The following is a 14,947-nucleotide window of genomic DNA, read 5'->3' on the forward strand; positions in this document are numbered from 1 at the left end:
GCTCCACTTAGAAAACTCCTACTTACCCCTTAAGACTCAGTTTGAGTGCTACCTTCTCCACATCACCTTCTACCATATCACAGACATGTATTCTGAGAGTTCAGTGTCCCTCCTCAAGGCTCCCACGACACCTGCACATGCTCTATCATAGCTTATATACAATAACTGTACCATAAATGTTGATGCATTTTCACCACTGACAAGCAAGCTGTACTAGGTCAAGATGGATATCATCATCTATACGTCATCCAGTGCCTAAAACAGACACTGCCAAACAAAATGAATAGATATTAGGCGAATGAATTAACATACAGTGAATAAACCAGGTTCTTGCCCTCAAAAAGTTCCCTATTTAGTTGGAGAGGCATGACTGGGCAAAGAGGAGGGGATGGAAATAAGACATAGAAACTACTACAGTGCAAACCAATGTTTGATAAGAAAGTAGGGTATACGGCAAGAAGCTAACACTTATTATGTTGCCTAAATGTTTAGGTATCTAAAGGTGCCAGACACTGTGGTTGGCCCATTGCACACATTCTCTCATTTATTCCTCACAACAACCCTGCAAGCTATTATTATTTCAATTTGATAGGCAGGGAAATTAAGACTCAAGGAGTTCAGGGCTCAGAAAGGTTAGTGAAGACTGGATTTGATCTCTAAAACCCACGCCCTTTCTATCACAATGGTACAAATTCAATTCTGTGGAGTGTCAGAGGAGGGAACAGTTACACCCAGAATGAAGAAAAATCACAAAAGGTTTTATGTAGAAGTAACAGTGGACCAAACCTTGAAGGGTTGGGGGAGAAAGGAGCTACATTTTAGATGGAGGAATAAAGAAGGCATGCATACAAATTCAAAACTTGTGAGTAGGACACTGAATAGTCTGGAGTAAATTGAGAATATCTGCAGAAAATCTCACTGAAAGAGAAAGTTGGGGCTACCCTGGGAGACCTGGGAACTCCCAATCTAAACACCACTATTAGAAAAATAACCAAGAGCATAGGTCATGTTAATGATTGGACCTGTGCTGTCCTCTTCAATTATGAAGGATAGCAAATGAAAAAAAACTCTGGCAGTATAAGTATTTCAGAGCCCTAAAATAAGTCTGACTTTAATCTTGTCTAAAATTTTAATTTTAGACATGTATTTTTAACCAAGGAGGAAATACAGCTACAGAAGTTAACATATTCAAGTGTCCTCTTAATGTCAAATTAACATAACATCATAGAAAAACAAGTAAATAGATTCACTTCACAAATGGGAGCCATATATTCTCTTCTGTTTTAAATGTATACTTTCAAAAGTAATTACTTTCATTAATCTTTTAAATTACATATATCATTCTCTCCAGACATCTTGATTTTAACTAAATCCATGAATTGCCCAGCTTGCTGGCATTATGAAATCTGATCATCAAAACATAACATGGCCATATTTAAAAGTACACTGGTTGTGTTTTGTGTATGTTTGCTGACAGTTTTACTTATCAATACTATGTTTTGAATGGCCCTTATAACTAATTTGTTCAAATGACATTCATAAACTAAGTGTGACTGATTATTTAGATGGTAACATCACAAATCCATTGAAAGGAATCTAAAATAAACAAAGTAAAGATCTTAAGTGGATTATCCATAGATTAGAGAAGTCTTAAACATTCTTTATAGACTGCCTTTTTTAGGTCTTTTAGACATATGTTTCTCTTAAGGCAATTTTATGAGCTAAAATGTTATAGCAAATGTAGCCCTAAAGCTGTATGTAAAATGTTATGGCAAATGTAGCCCTAAAACTGTATATAATAAATAAAAAATTCCCCACACTGAAATTAGTAGGAGTGTCAGTCTAGTCAGTAAAAAATCTTCAGTGTATGTATTTTTTTTTATTTTGAATTTTTGTAGGTACCGATACTGTTTGGCTGTGAACCCATCCAAATCTCATCTTGAACTCCCACATGTTGCGGGAGGGACCCAGTGGGAGCTAATTGAATCATGGTGGCAGGTCTTTCCTGTGCTATTCTCGTGATAGTAAGTCTCAAGAGATCTGATGGTTTTAAAAAGGGGAGTTTCCCTGCACAAGCTCTCTTCTCTTGTCTGCCACCATGTGAGACATGCTGTTTGCCTTCTGCCATGATTGTGAGGCCTCTCCAGCCACATGGAACTGTAAGTCCAATAAACCTGTAAATTGCCCAGTCTTGGGTATGTCTTTATCAGCAGCATGAAAACAGACTAATACAGGTACATTAGTAGGTGTGTATATTTATGGTGTACACGAGATATTTTGATACAAGCATGCAATGCATAATAATCACATCAGGGTAGATGGGGTATCCATTACCTCAAGCATTTATCCTTTGTGTTACAAACTATCCAATTATACTCTTCTAGTTATTTTTAAATGTACAATTAAATTATTTTTGGCTATAATCACCCTGTTGTGTGGGCAAATACTACATCATATGTATTCTATATAACTATATTTTTGTACTCATTAACCATACTTACTTCCGCAACACCCCACTATTCTTCCTAGCCTCTGGTGACCACGCTTCTGCTCTCTTATCTCCACGAGTTCAATTGTTTTAATTTTTAGCTCTTACAAATAAGTGAAAACATGTCAAGTTTGTCTTTCTGTGCCTGGCTTATGTCGCTTAACATAATGACCTCCAGTTGCACCCATGTTTTTGCAAATGACAGGATCTCATTCTTTTTTTTATGGCCGAATAGTACTCTATTGTGTATATATATCACATTTTCTTTTTCCATTCATCTGTTGATGGACCCTTAGGTTGCTTCTTCCAAATCTTGGCTATTGTAAATAATGCTGCAATAAACATAAGAGTGCAGATGTCCCTTCAATATACCGATTTTCTTTCTTGTGGGTATATACCCAGCAGTGGGATTGCTGGATCCTATGGTAGCTCAATTTTCAGTTTTTTGAGGAACCTCCAAACTGTTCTCCATAGTGGTTGTACTAATTTACATTCCCACTAACAGCATACAAGGGTTCCCTTTTCTCCACATCTTCATCAGCATTTGCTATTGACTGACTTTTGGATACAAGCCATTTTAACTGGGTAATATATATATTTTAAACAGAAATCGAGACTTTTCACTTCCAACTTTACATAGTAAATAACCAATATTGTTGGAGATACTTAGGGCCCTTGTTAAAATGAATAGATATTTTATTTGTAATACTATTATCAATCAATAATATAGTAATGGGTACTATAAAATATAAATATTTAGCTTTGAAATTTTTATTATATTTTCAGTTTAGTAATTTTTTTCATAGATAACATATCTATACTTTTATCTAGCCACTTTCAGAATTACTATAGAATATAAATCAGCAGCATGCAACTCTTTACAATTTATGGATCATTTGTTATTTTGTAACAAATGGTTAGTATTAAAGACATCCTAGGCAGAAAGTAAGGCATGGTATCTCTAATCCTTTAAACTTTTAAAAGCATCATGAATACCATCTTCTTTTTGCCCAATGAAAGATATTCAAATACAGAGCTAAGAAAGATATTATTATATAAATGACCCCAACTGCTCCTCTTAGAGATGAAAGAACTGAGACCCAAAGAAAGACTCAAAAATATATAGCTTCAAATGAGCATACTATAAAGATTGAAAATCAATAATTTAGGCATTCACATCAAAAAGTTTTTTAAAAGAACAACACGTGAAATCGAACGAAAACAAAAGGAAGGGTATAATAAAGATTAAAATCAGAAATTATTGAAATAGAAACAAAACATACAAAAGAGAGTTTCAACAATGCCAAAAGTTGGTTCTTTGACCAATAATATTAATAAACCCCTGACAAAACTGATTGAGAAGGCAAACAGCAAATACCAGGCATAAAAATGGGAATATCATTACTAAGGACATTAAAATATCATAAGATGATATTCTAAATAACTTTACGCCAATAATTAGAGGGAACAGATCCTAAAACAACATTTATCAAAGCTTCTCATGGCTAATAAACATAATGAATCCATGACTAAAAAGCCTGCTTATAAAGATAATGGTGGTAACATACACCTAGAAATAATTACTAATACTTGTTATATTTCATTGTCTCCTTTTTCGCTGGTTATGACCATAATCTAAAATTAGAATTGACTGAGGCAGTTCAGCCTAATATATCTTTCTAAAAATATATTTTGTTGTTCAAAATAAAGGAATGGAGAAACTGCCCTCATGATATGAAGAAACTCTCATGTAAAATGACTTTCTTTTTCCTAGGGTATTATCTTGAGAGCTGATTTTAATTTCCAAAGCCATCCTTAAGGAAAAAATTGGTTTTTGGCTTATTTTTAAATATTAAATTTAAATTCACTTGTTTTCACTTTAAGTTGATAGTATATACTTATATGGCATCTGTATATACATCTCCATGGTGAAGTGATTCTCATAAAAAGTGACTTCCTCTTTTCTGGAGTATAAATTTCAATGACATTTTCAACTTTTGAAGCCATCTTTAAGAAAAAAAGTTTTTTCCTTATTTTAAAATATTAAATTTAAATTCATTTGTTTTGCTCTAAATTGATACTATACACTTAAGCAGCATCTGTATATACATTAAAACTGTCAAGTAATAAAATATTTTTAAAGGAACCCTCACTCTACAGCAGGAGGTAAACACTATGCAATCAAAACAGCACAAACTCTGCTAAGAATGAACTGCAATTCTCACTTATCATCCTTAAATATAAAATATTGGTCTTGCTATGTGCCCTGTAACTCAAAAGTTGGAATTATGATATGTTACAAATATAAATTATTCAAGTGAGAACTAGCAAACTAGTTGAAAATTCTGATTCTTTCATTATATTTCCAACTTTATCCATGTGAGAGGAAAAACTAATTGAATAGCTTAAAGGAGAGGAAAAAAAAAGAGAGTGTTTCAGATTCAGGGGAACATAGAAGATTGAAATAATTACAAGTAAGAACAGTATTACAGCTCCTGTAGGATTATGTTTCTTATTTCTTCCTATATCTCCTATAATACACAGCCTCGTAGTTTTAATATGACAAATACTTAAAAATTTTTTGAGTTGAAAGTCCTAGGTTTATATAATACATCGTTCATACAAAGAACCATGAGAAGATATAAAAATAGTGTGGTAAAAATTTGGATGAAGCTGGAGTAAAAGAACCAGTATTAGTCTTCTTTTCAAAAAATAATTACAACCTTTATTTTAGATTTAGGGGGTACATGTGCAGGTTTGTTACATGGCTATATTGTGTGATCCTGAGATTTAGGGTATGACTGATCCTGCCATCTACACAGTAAACATAGTAACCAATTGTTAGTTTTCAATCCTTGCTCCCCTCCTTCTCTCTGCCCTTTAGCAGTCCCCACTATCTATTGTTGCCATCTTTATGTCCATGGATACTCAATGTTTAGCTCCCACTTATAAGAGAGAACATGTAAGATCCTATGTTCTTAAAGCACTAGAAAAGGCTAGAAATTTTCTGAAATATGTGGTTGACCTATATAAAATTTAGGAAATGAAATGATGGGTGATAGAAGAAAGAAACATGGAAAGTTGGGAGTGGGAATGTGGGGGACAAGTAATATGACAATGAGAAGAGGGCTTTCTACGGAACAAATTCTTAACATTTAATGCCTAACATATTGAGAAGAATTATATTTAGCTTCGCCAATTCATGGATCTAGCTTTGTAATTACAATTCTCTAATATTGGCAGAAATGACGGTAGCAGAAAATCAGGATTAAAAATGTATTGTAAACAACAAAGAATACCTTCTATTTCCAGATAATGTAGAATGAACACTATATAGCAGAGATACTGAGGATACTGAGGGGGATGTTGAGGTAGATGAAGATAAGGGGAAGAATTTACTACGACGGAAGCTCATCATCTCACAAGTATGAAACAGATAACCTTCAGTTCCATTTCAAACAGCCATCAGCAAGTTAGAAGTATTTGAAGAAATAATGGTGTCTATTGACCTTGTTACACACTATTAACAATAGCAAATTTAAAATTTGCATATATTCTGTTAAATTAATTTATTCCTAAATATATTCTTTATACTACTGTAAATAGTATTTTTAAATTTTTTCCCATTGCTATAGATACTAGCATATATATATATATATATATATACGCTAGTATATATATATATATATATATATATATATATACGCTAGTATATATATTCCATATATATGGAATATATGGAATATATATATGCCAGTATATATATTCCATATATATGGAATATATGGAATATATATATATGGAATACAATTGATTTTTGTACATTTTCCTTGTATCTTATGACCTTGTTTAACTTATTAGTTCTAATGCTTTTTTTATATGTTTCTTAAGGTTTTTTATATACACATTCATGCAATTGTGTCATCTATAACATGCATGCCATTTATTAAGTTTTCTTGCTTTATTGTGCTAGCTGGCACCTCCAGCATAATATGAGTAGTTAATATTCTTGTCTTTTCTCCTAATCATGAGAAAAATGTTTAGTCTTTCATTTTTAAATATGAAGTTTAGCTATAGGCTTTTTATAGATGCCTCTTGATTGAGGAAGTTTCCTGATATTTGTAATTTATGTGATATTTTATCAGGAATGGATATTGAATTTTCTCAAATGATTTTTCTGGTGGCAATTAGAGGATCATATGGTTTTTTATTTATTCTGTAAATGTGTTATATAATTTGATTTTTAAATGTTAAGCTAGCCTTGCATTCCTGAGATAAAACCTCCTTGGTTATGACATATTATTCTTTTTATATATTGTTGAATTTGATTTGTTAACATTTGTTAAAAATTTTTGCATCTATGTTCATAGGAAATTCTGAATTGTAATTTTATTTTTTTGCATTACACAGGTCTGCTGATAAAAAAACTCAGTTTTTGTCTGAAAATGTCATTATTTTGCCTTCTGAAGAATATTTTTGCCAAATATACTAATCTATACTGATATTTTTTTTCTTTCAGCACTTCAATTGAATTGTGGTTCATATTTATTTCTCAGGAGAAGTCAGCAGTCACTTTTATCATTGTTCCCCTATAGGTAATACGTCTTTTTTCCTCTGGTAATTTTAAAGATTTTTCTCTTGGTTTTTAGCAATTTGATTATATGCTATGTAGTGTTTTTTTTGTTTATTCTGCTTGAAGTTCATTGAGCTTCCTGAATTGGTGATGTTATCTTTTTTATCAAATTTGAGAATTTTCCTACCATTATCTCTTCAAAATATTTTTCTGTCCCATTTTTTTCTCCTCTCTTTTGAGACTACAATTGTGTGTATGTGAAGCTGCTTTTTTAGGGTTGTCATTTTTACACTAAGAATTTCCAATTATTCCGTCATTATGTTCATTTTTCTCCCTTTAAATGTTTGAATCTATTTATGGCAACTGTTTTATAGTCCTTGTCTGCTAATTCCATTATCCTGTCATTTTTAGTCTATTTCTATTGACCAATTTTCCTGCTTTTTTTGTATGTCTAGTCATTTCCTATTGAATGCTTGACTCAATGAATGCTATGTTGCTGAGTGTTTGGATTTTGCGGTCTTCTTGGTTGAGTGTTAAGTTTTGTTCAGGTATGAAGTCAATTTACTGTTGAATCACCTGATTTTTTCAAGGTATTCCTCCCTCCCTCCCCAAATACCCATTATTTTTATTTTTAAAGCCATTTTGTATGAGACAAAACTTCCAAAATAATATTAAATAGCAAGCATCCTTCTTTATCAGGGCTTAGTTTTAAAATTTGTAAAGATAGGTATGGAGTAACTCTTACTTTAGGGATAGATTAGTCCTACTTCTAAACATAGACTTTATAAGATAAATACCCTTCTGAATACCAGGGTTATTTAATGAAGGAACTCTGGTAGTTGTTCAGCTCAAAGATCCCTAGTAGTTTTTCTTTTCCTAGTGTTTGTGAATTTTGTTCAGTTTTATAGTTTTTATTGTGGTAGGGCTAATCTGGTACCACTACCCTGTCATGGGCAGAGGTATAAATCCCAAAAGGCAGTTTTTCACCATATCTCAGCTTTCCCTGAGTCCTTTCCTCTTTCTCCTTTGACCCACTAACTCTGCCCTTTATTCTCTTATAATTCTCTCTCAAGAACTGATCACTTAGTGAAAAGACCCAGACCAGAAACTAACTCTTATAACTCAATTCAATGCTCTATTATACTATATATTTTTTACTTCCTAGGATTAAAACAATAACAATCTAAGTTAGCTTTAAGTTGTTCATTACTTGATATATTTCTTGACTTATCTATTTTGTTTTTGGTGGATCTATCATTTATATTTTATTTTCTAAAAATTAGAACGGGTTCACTCATAAAGCTAAAAATGACCCATATTGAGAAAAACTATTTGATTAAAAGCTGAACCAGCATTCTAACCATACAAAATTATCTAAAAAGTAACTTTAAGGAAGGCAAGGAGACAAATAATAACATGCTTCTACCAGATTTCTGGGTTCCTTATCTCATACCTGAGATTCATATAGTTTATTATTTCTCCTTGTGAGCTATTTTAGCTGCTTGTGAGAGAATAGGCTTAGATCCTACATGTTTTTCTTCTAACTTAAGAGCCTTTATGTTGATGAGATCTGTTCCTAGAATGTAATGTTCATCACTCTCTGTCCACAGAATATCTATTAATTCATGTTTATAAAGCATTAGCCACTTTAAAAATAAATTTTGCATGGTTTTATTACCTTTAAAGGAGAGAAGAGATAAGAGCAAGAAGAACAGAAATAAAACTGGTTTATAAAATGGGCCTCTAAGAAAGTATTTTTAAATTGTACCAGGAGGGAAACAAATGATTAAATGAGATTTTTAAGAGGTTGTGGGTCTAATAGTCTTACCTGTGTAGCTGAATATATTCTCGGGGTCTGTTGAGCAGGTGAAGGAATCTGTCAACAATCTTGTTTTTTCCTACACCCTGTAATTACACAGAAAACATTAAACAAAAAGAGGCTATTTTCTGGAGATAAGCTTATGCCAAATCAGAAGAATCTTTTACCAAAACCTGCTTTCTCACCTTGTTACTGTTTTAGTTTATTGTTCATGAAAACCAAACTGGCAAACATATATGGAATATCTCCTATGACATAAGGGTTTAAAAAATTTATTTCTAAACGTACTAGTTCTAAGCCATTCTTATTTGAAAGGAAATCCATAAATTAGCCTCCTACATATTGACTTTTCTGTTCTGTAAATTTACACTGAAGTCTAGGCATCACAGCAGATGCCTATAGTATTAACTATTTCAGATTTGAAGAATGTCATCAAAGGTGATCAAGTAAGTATAAAACAATGGTTTTTCTAATCAGTTCTTCAGAATTATGATTTTCAGTTACAGAAAGGTAAATATAATACTGTATTTTTTCTATTTGAATCAAACACTCATTTCTTCTCCTTTTATCCCATTTTCCAGTCCTTTAAAACCTTGGAAACCTAAACTTAAAACCAAGGTGTATTAATAAAACTCAACTATATGTGCTCTTCCTAGAAATGCCCTCATTTCCTTACCACTTACTGCTGCTGAGAGTTGCTATCCTTTTGTAGAAGACAGATTGTTAAAAATGGAATCCACCCCCAAGCTATTTCCCTATTTCAAAGTTTTCACTTAGAAGTGAAATATAATTAATGGGGTGTAAATCTTTTAACAAGCAGGTTGTGTGGAAAGAGTTATAGTTTAAAAGCTGACTTCATATCATACATGCTAGCAAAAATAACTCTTACTGATTCTTATATGGGTTGAGCATCCCTAATCCAAAAATCTGAAACCCAAAATGCTGCAAATTCTGAAACTTTTTGAGCACCAACAAGATGTGCAAAGGTCATGCTCAACAGAAATGCTCATTGGAGCACTTCAGATTTTGGATTTTTAGATTAGGGATGCTCAACTGGTATGTATACACAAATATTCTAAAATGTGAAATGCTTCTGGTCCCAAGCATTTCAGATAAGGGACACTTAACCCATACTGTGCCAGGCTGTAGGGTAAGTATTTTCATGGGTTATTTCATTTCATCATCACAACAGTCCCATGAGGTAGGCATTAAAATTATTTCAACCTCACAAATCAAGAAACCAAGGCTCAGAGGTAAGCATTGTGCACACAGTCACATACAGGTAATTCTAGTGAAACGAGGACTCACATCCAGGTAATTCTAGTGAAACCAGGACTCACATCCAGGTCTATATGATTCTGATGCTCATAATTATAGTCCCTGCATTATGGAATATCTTTCTTTCAGTTTGAAATTGATTTTGGTAATCTGGGCCTTAAGTTATCTCCTTTCTCACTTCTAGGTCCATCCTAAAGAAATAATTAGGTAGACTGGGGCAATGCATGGTATACAGCAACAATAGCAGAAGCCCAATAGGGAAGCAGGTATTTTTACTGGTATTTTTACTACATACGCAAACATCTTGTGAAGAAAAGCATTCTACAAGCATCAAGGATAGAAATTCAAATCAATTGAAATGGTATTTATTGAGCGCCACAGGGGGTAGAAACCACATCTGTTTTGCTTATCACTATATCCCCAGAGCTCAGCACAGTGCCTGAGAGTGCGTTCAATAAATATTTGTCAAGTGAATAAACGAATATAGGGCGTTTGGAAAGTACTGGAAAAGGAGTGAGGATTCTGGTAAAATATAAATGATGACCATGTTAATAAGGATGCTGAAATTATGGACTTATAAAAGAAGAACGGGCCAGGCGCATGACTCACACCAGTAATCCCAGAGATTTGGGTGGCTTAAGTGGGAGGATCACTTGAGCCCAGGAGTTCCAGATCAGCCTGGGCAACACAGTGAGGCCTCATCTCTATAAAAACAAAAAACAAACAAACAAACAAACAAAAAATTAGCCAGGCATGGTGGCACATGCCTGTAGTCCTAGCTACTTGGGAGGCTGAGGTGGAAGGATCTCTTGAACCTAGGAATTTGAGGCTGCAGTGAGCTATGATCACACCACTACATTACAGCCTGGTGATGGAGCAAGACTCCACCTGTAAAAATAAATAAATAAATAAATAGATAGATAGATAGATAGATAGATAGATAGATAGATAGATAAAGTGGGATAAATTTTAAAAGTGATTTATTTCGCCTACAAAAGATTTAAGGTTATCGGAGCTGAATGTCAAATTGACAAATTCACTTAAGTTAGAACAATGGATCATTTCATCTTCTAGGAATCTTTTCAGTACCTAATTGGATTTCACCCAAAATAGTTTCAAGCCTAGCACAGAAGCACAGAGGAGGAAAATAACATTTGCACATCTGTATGTAAATTACAACTGGTATGTAAACTTTAAATGGCATGTGACCATAAATATAAATTTTTAAATAGACAAATTCAGATGAGTAAAATGTCTGTGTTAATATATTAGTTCTGTTAAATTCAGCAATCCTAGGAAAAGCAGACATCACAAATGCATTACAATGTCAGAAATACAAAGGATTTCCTGGAAGAAATGTCATGAAAATGTGCTATCAGGGAGTTCCTCCTCCCTTCCCACCTCTAAAGTTATTAAATAGCCATGCCTATTTAAATTCCTCCTGAGCAAGGCACGATTTAGGAGTCACAAGTCCCATAAATGTAGTTTGAGATGTGGAGTCCCAGCTGCCACTAAGGAGCTCTTTTGCTGTGTCTCTTTAAATGCTGGAGTCTCCAGAACCCCAACCTTGGCTGTCTTGTTCCATATGCTCTCTCTCCCATGACCTCAGTCATCACAGACAGCTCACACTTCTTTTCTAAGCTTCATTCGATATCCCCTATTCTTAACCGTCAACTGAACTTCTGAAACAGATGCTTATCATCCTTCCACCCAAACCTACTTTTTTCTCTTTTCAACCCCCATATAACAGCACAGCCAAGTACTCAGCTGCTCAATAAAAGAATGCTAGAAGATTTTTGATGGCTTCATTTTTTCCCTTCTGCAAAACGTCATTAGGATCTTTGCAGTCCCTACCTGCAAAACTTTTAGTTTTATTCTTTCCTTCCATTCCTTGTCTCCTTCATTCCTCTTTCCCTTCCAACATTTTCTCCCTCCCTCCCTTCGTTTCTCCCTCTCTCACTTCCTTGCCTAACTCATCAATTATTTGAGCACCTAATATTACAGCACTGTACTAGTTGAGCTGGATATAATGGTAAAGGAAACAGCTACAGCCTCTCACCATATTCACAGCTTATAGTCTAGTAGGGAACACAGACAACACATATAATAGATAGTGTCCTCATATGACAATCCAAGATGCTTGAAGATTTAACCTAAGGGCTCAGGAAGGCCGACTGCACAGTTATGTTTAGATCGAGATATCAAGGAACTAAAGAGGTATAGGGAAAGATGAGAAAGGGGAGTGATACAGGTAGAACAGTATGTGTCAAGACTCTTGGGTAACAGTCAGTTGGAGAGCTGGACAGGTATGCAAGAAGTCAGAAGCTAGAGAAAAGTGAGAAAGGGAGTGGTAAGAAACCAGGCTAGAAAGGTAGGTGGGGTTTAAGTCTGGCTAAGCCCTGGAAACCACTTAAAAGAGTTAGAACTGTTTCCTCAAAGCACCAAGAAGCCACTGAAGTAAAGGAATAATACGATCAGATTTTCAGTTTTAGAAAATTGCTCTGATGGAATGGTACGGTGGAGTCTGGTAGAGAGCAGAAGAGAAAGCAAAGGAAAGCAGTTTGAAATTCCTTTAAAATTCAAGCAGGAGATGATGGTGGTCTAAACTACGGGATAGAGAGAAATGAATATATTTAAGAGATATTTAGGAAAAGGAACCAACAGGACTTAATGAGGGCCTGGAGTTAAGGATGAGGAGATGAAGAAGTCAAAGTTTCTGTCTTGGGCAATCGAGTGGCAGGTCACAGAAGAAACAGGGGAGGAGAACTGAATTAGCTGGGTGGGGGAGGGAAGTCTAGTTATAAAAGGCAGTTTAATTTTGGATATGTTTACTTTGAAGTGTCTGCTTCCCATATCTGCTCCTTCCTCTCCAATTCACTGTCTCAACTCAAGGGTAGCTCATCCCCTCCCCAGACTACTGGAAAGGGCCTAATTTGGTTTGGTTTCCCACCTCCAGATTTACAAGACTATCCTCAATTTGTTTAGTTATTTTTCTAAAATAGAGATCTCATCAAGTTGCTTACTACTTCATTTTAAGAAGCTCTGATAATTCCTTTGAGGAAATGCTGAAAGCTTCATCTAGGAAAGAATTTCTGTAAATATCCTGAGCAAAATGAAACAGTTATAATGACTTGTTCCTTCTAATCACAGTTTTTGCCTAGAATAGAGAATCCTCAGGATTATTTTAATTGAATAAATATATAAATAGTGTCTTATTTTTCCATTATAAAGTTACACATGCTTATTTTTCCCACTGGGAAACTTAGAAAACAATAATCACCCAATGTCCAGTTGCTTAAAAAATCTGCTAACATTTTAATTTTGTTCCTATACATATTTATCTTTACTTACTAAAAATTCCATTTATATGTAATTTGTATCCTTTAGTAAAAATCAACATGAAATTGATAAATTTTTATATCATTAACTCTTATTGAGAATAATATTTAGTAAGTGGAAATTTGATATAGGAGAAGAAACTTGTGGAATGAGAGCTCCTAAAAAATAAAAATAATCTCATGAGAATGACGCTAACATTTATCATTACTGTTCTGCTGGACTGTGCTCTTCATGATGACGTACTGGCCAGAAGGATTTTCGCAGAAGCAGGAGTAGGGCGGCCCTTTCACTACCGGGTTAGGAGAAGCAGGAATTATGTGAAGCCCCACAGACAGGAGTCAAACCAAGGAGAGGAAGTAAACATGCTTCTAATTTCTGAGAGAAAAGCTCAGGGACCATGACTTTAAGAATTCTGAGGGATTTCTGGGACTCTTATAACTTCCTCAGGTTTATTATTTTAGTTACCCTGTTTCCTCAGAGAGATTAGCAGTAAAATTCTTTACAGCAAAAGGACTTTGGGGCTTTTCTTCCTGGACAAGAAAAAAATACAGAACGTACAAAACTCTATCCATGTTCCATCAAAGGAGGAGAGAAAGAAAGAAATAGAGTAGGAGAAAAAAGCTAAAAGGGAATGGAAAACAGGCAAAGAGAAAATTAGTCTAGGAATGGGATTTGGACTAAATGTTGGGACTTGAATGCTGAAGGATTTGTAACAGACCTTGAGGGATCCCTGCAACAGCAGATAAATTTGCAAGCATGCTCATCAGCCCTCTGTGACTCTCACTCAAACAAGTTCCTTTCAGCCACTGTCTCCTAAAAATTACCTTTCCATATCCATATCTTTGCTTATGTGGTTTCTTTTGACTACAATAGCTCATCCTTGCCCATCTGTCTGTCATCTTCCACTCCCCCACCTAGCCTTCTGATAAAATGTTCCAACTTCTCTGAAGCTTTGCCTATCTGTCCCGTTGTTTTCTCTCCTTTAACTCTCAGCACCAGAATGATTTCCTCCTTTGGGTTCCTAAACCACTCTCTCTCACCAGTATACTCTAGCAATGTGCCAGGTCCTTGGCAGGTAGACAGGCTTGCTCCTTGAGGCCAGGATCATGCCCTATTCGGGTCTCTTAATGTCATGGAGTCAAAGATCAGTCAGTTTAAGGTTGTAAAATCACATAAAACACGTCTGGGAGCTCCCTGCATGTTATCTAAGGTTCAGAAGGGAGAACAGTGAGGAAGCAAATCCAGATCTTTTCTTCAGCAATTTTAAAAAATGGACTCTAGGTGAGTATTTGCCACTGCCAGCATTCAGCTTTCTTGCATGTTCTCTGAAACTTGTTTACTGTGGGCCTGCCTTTAGTTGCCTCCAATTCTTTAATAATTTTCATAAAGTTAGTTCAGTTTGTATAATAGAGATGTTCTTTCCATAGGCCGCTAATTTCTTTGTTAGAAA

General features: G+C 34.6%; 1 protein-coding gene across 2 annotated transcripts in view; it reads right to left on the reverse strand.

Moving 5' to 3' along the window:
- VWA8 (von Willebrand factor A domain containing 8) overlaps nucleotides 1-14,947 on the reverse strand; it is a 394,275-nt gene that overhangs the window by 185,404 nt on the left and 193,924 nt on the right. For both annotated transcript variants that reach the window (NM_015058.2, NM_001009814.2), the window contains exon 21: nucleotides 8,890-8,966. In NM_015058.2, the coding sequence (NP_055873.1) occupies nucleotides 8,890-8,966 (77 nt within the window). The remainder of the gene's footprint in view (nucleotides 1-8,889; nucleotides 8,967-14,947) is intronic.

Source organism: Homo sapiens, chromosome 13 (assembly GCF_000001405.40).
Source record: "Homo sapiens chromosome 13, GRCh38.p14 Primary Assembly".
In the NCBI taxonomy this organism is placed as follows: domain Eukaryota; kingdom Metazoa; phylum Chordata; class Mammalia; order Primates; family Hominidae; genus Homo; species Homo sapiens.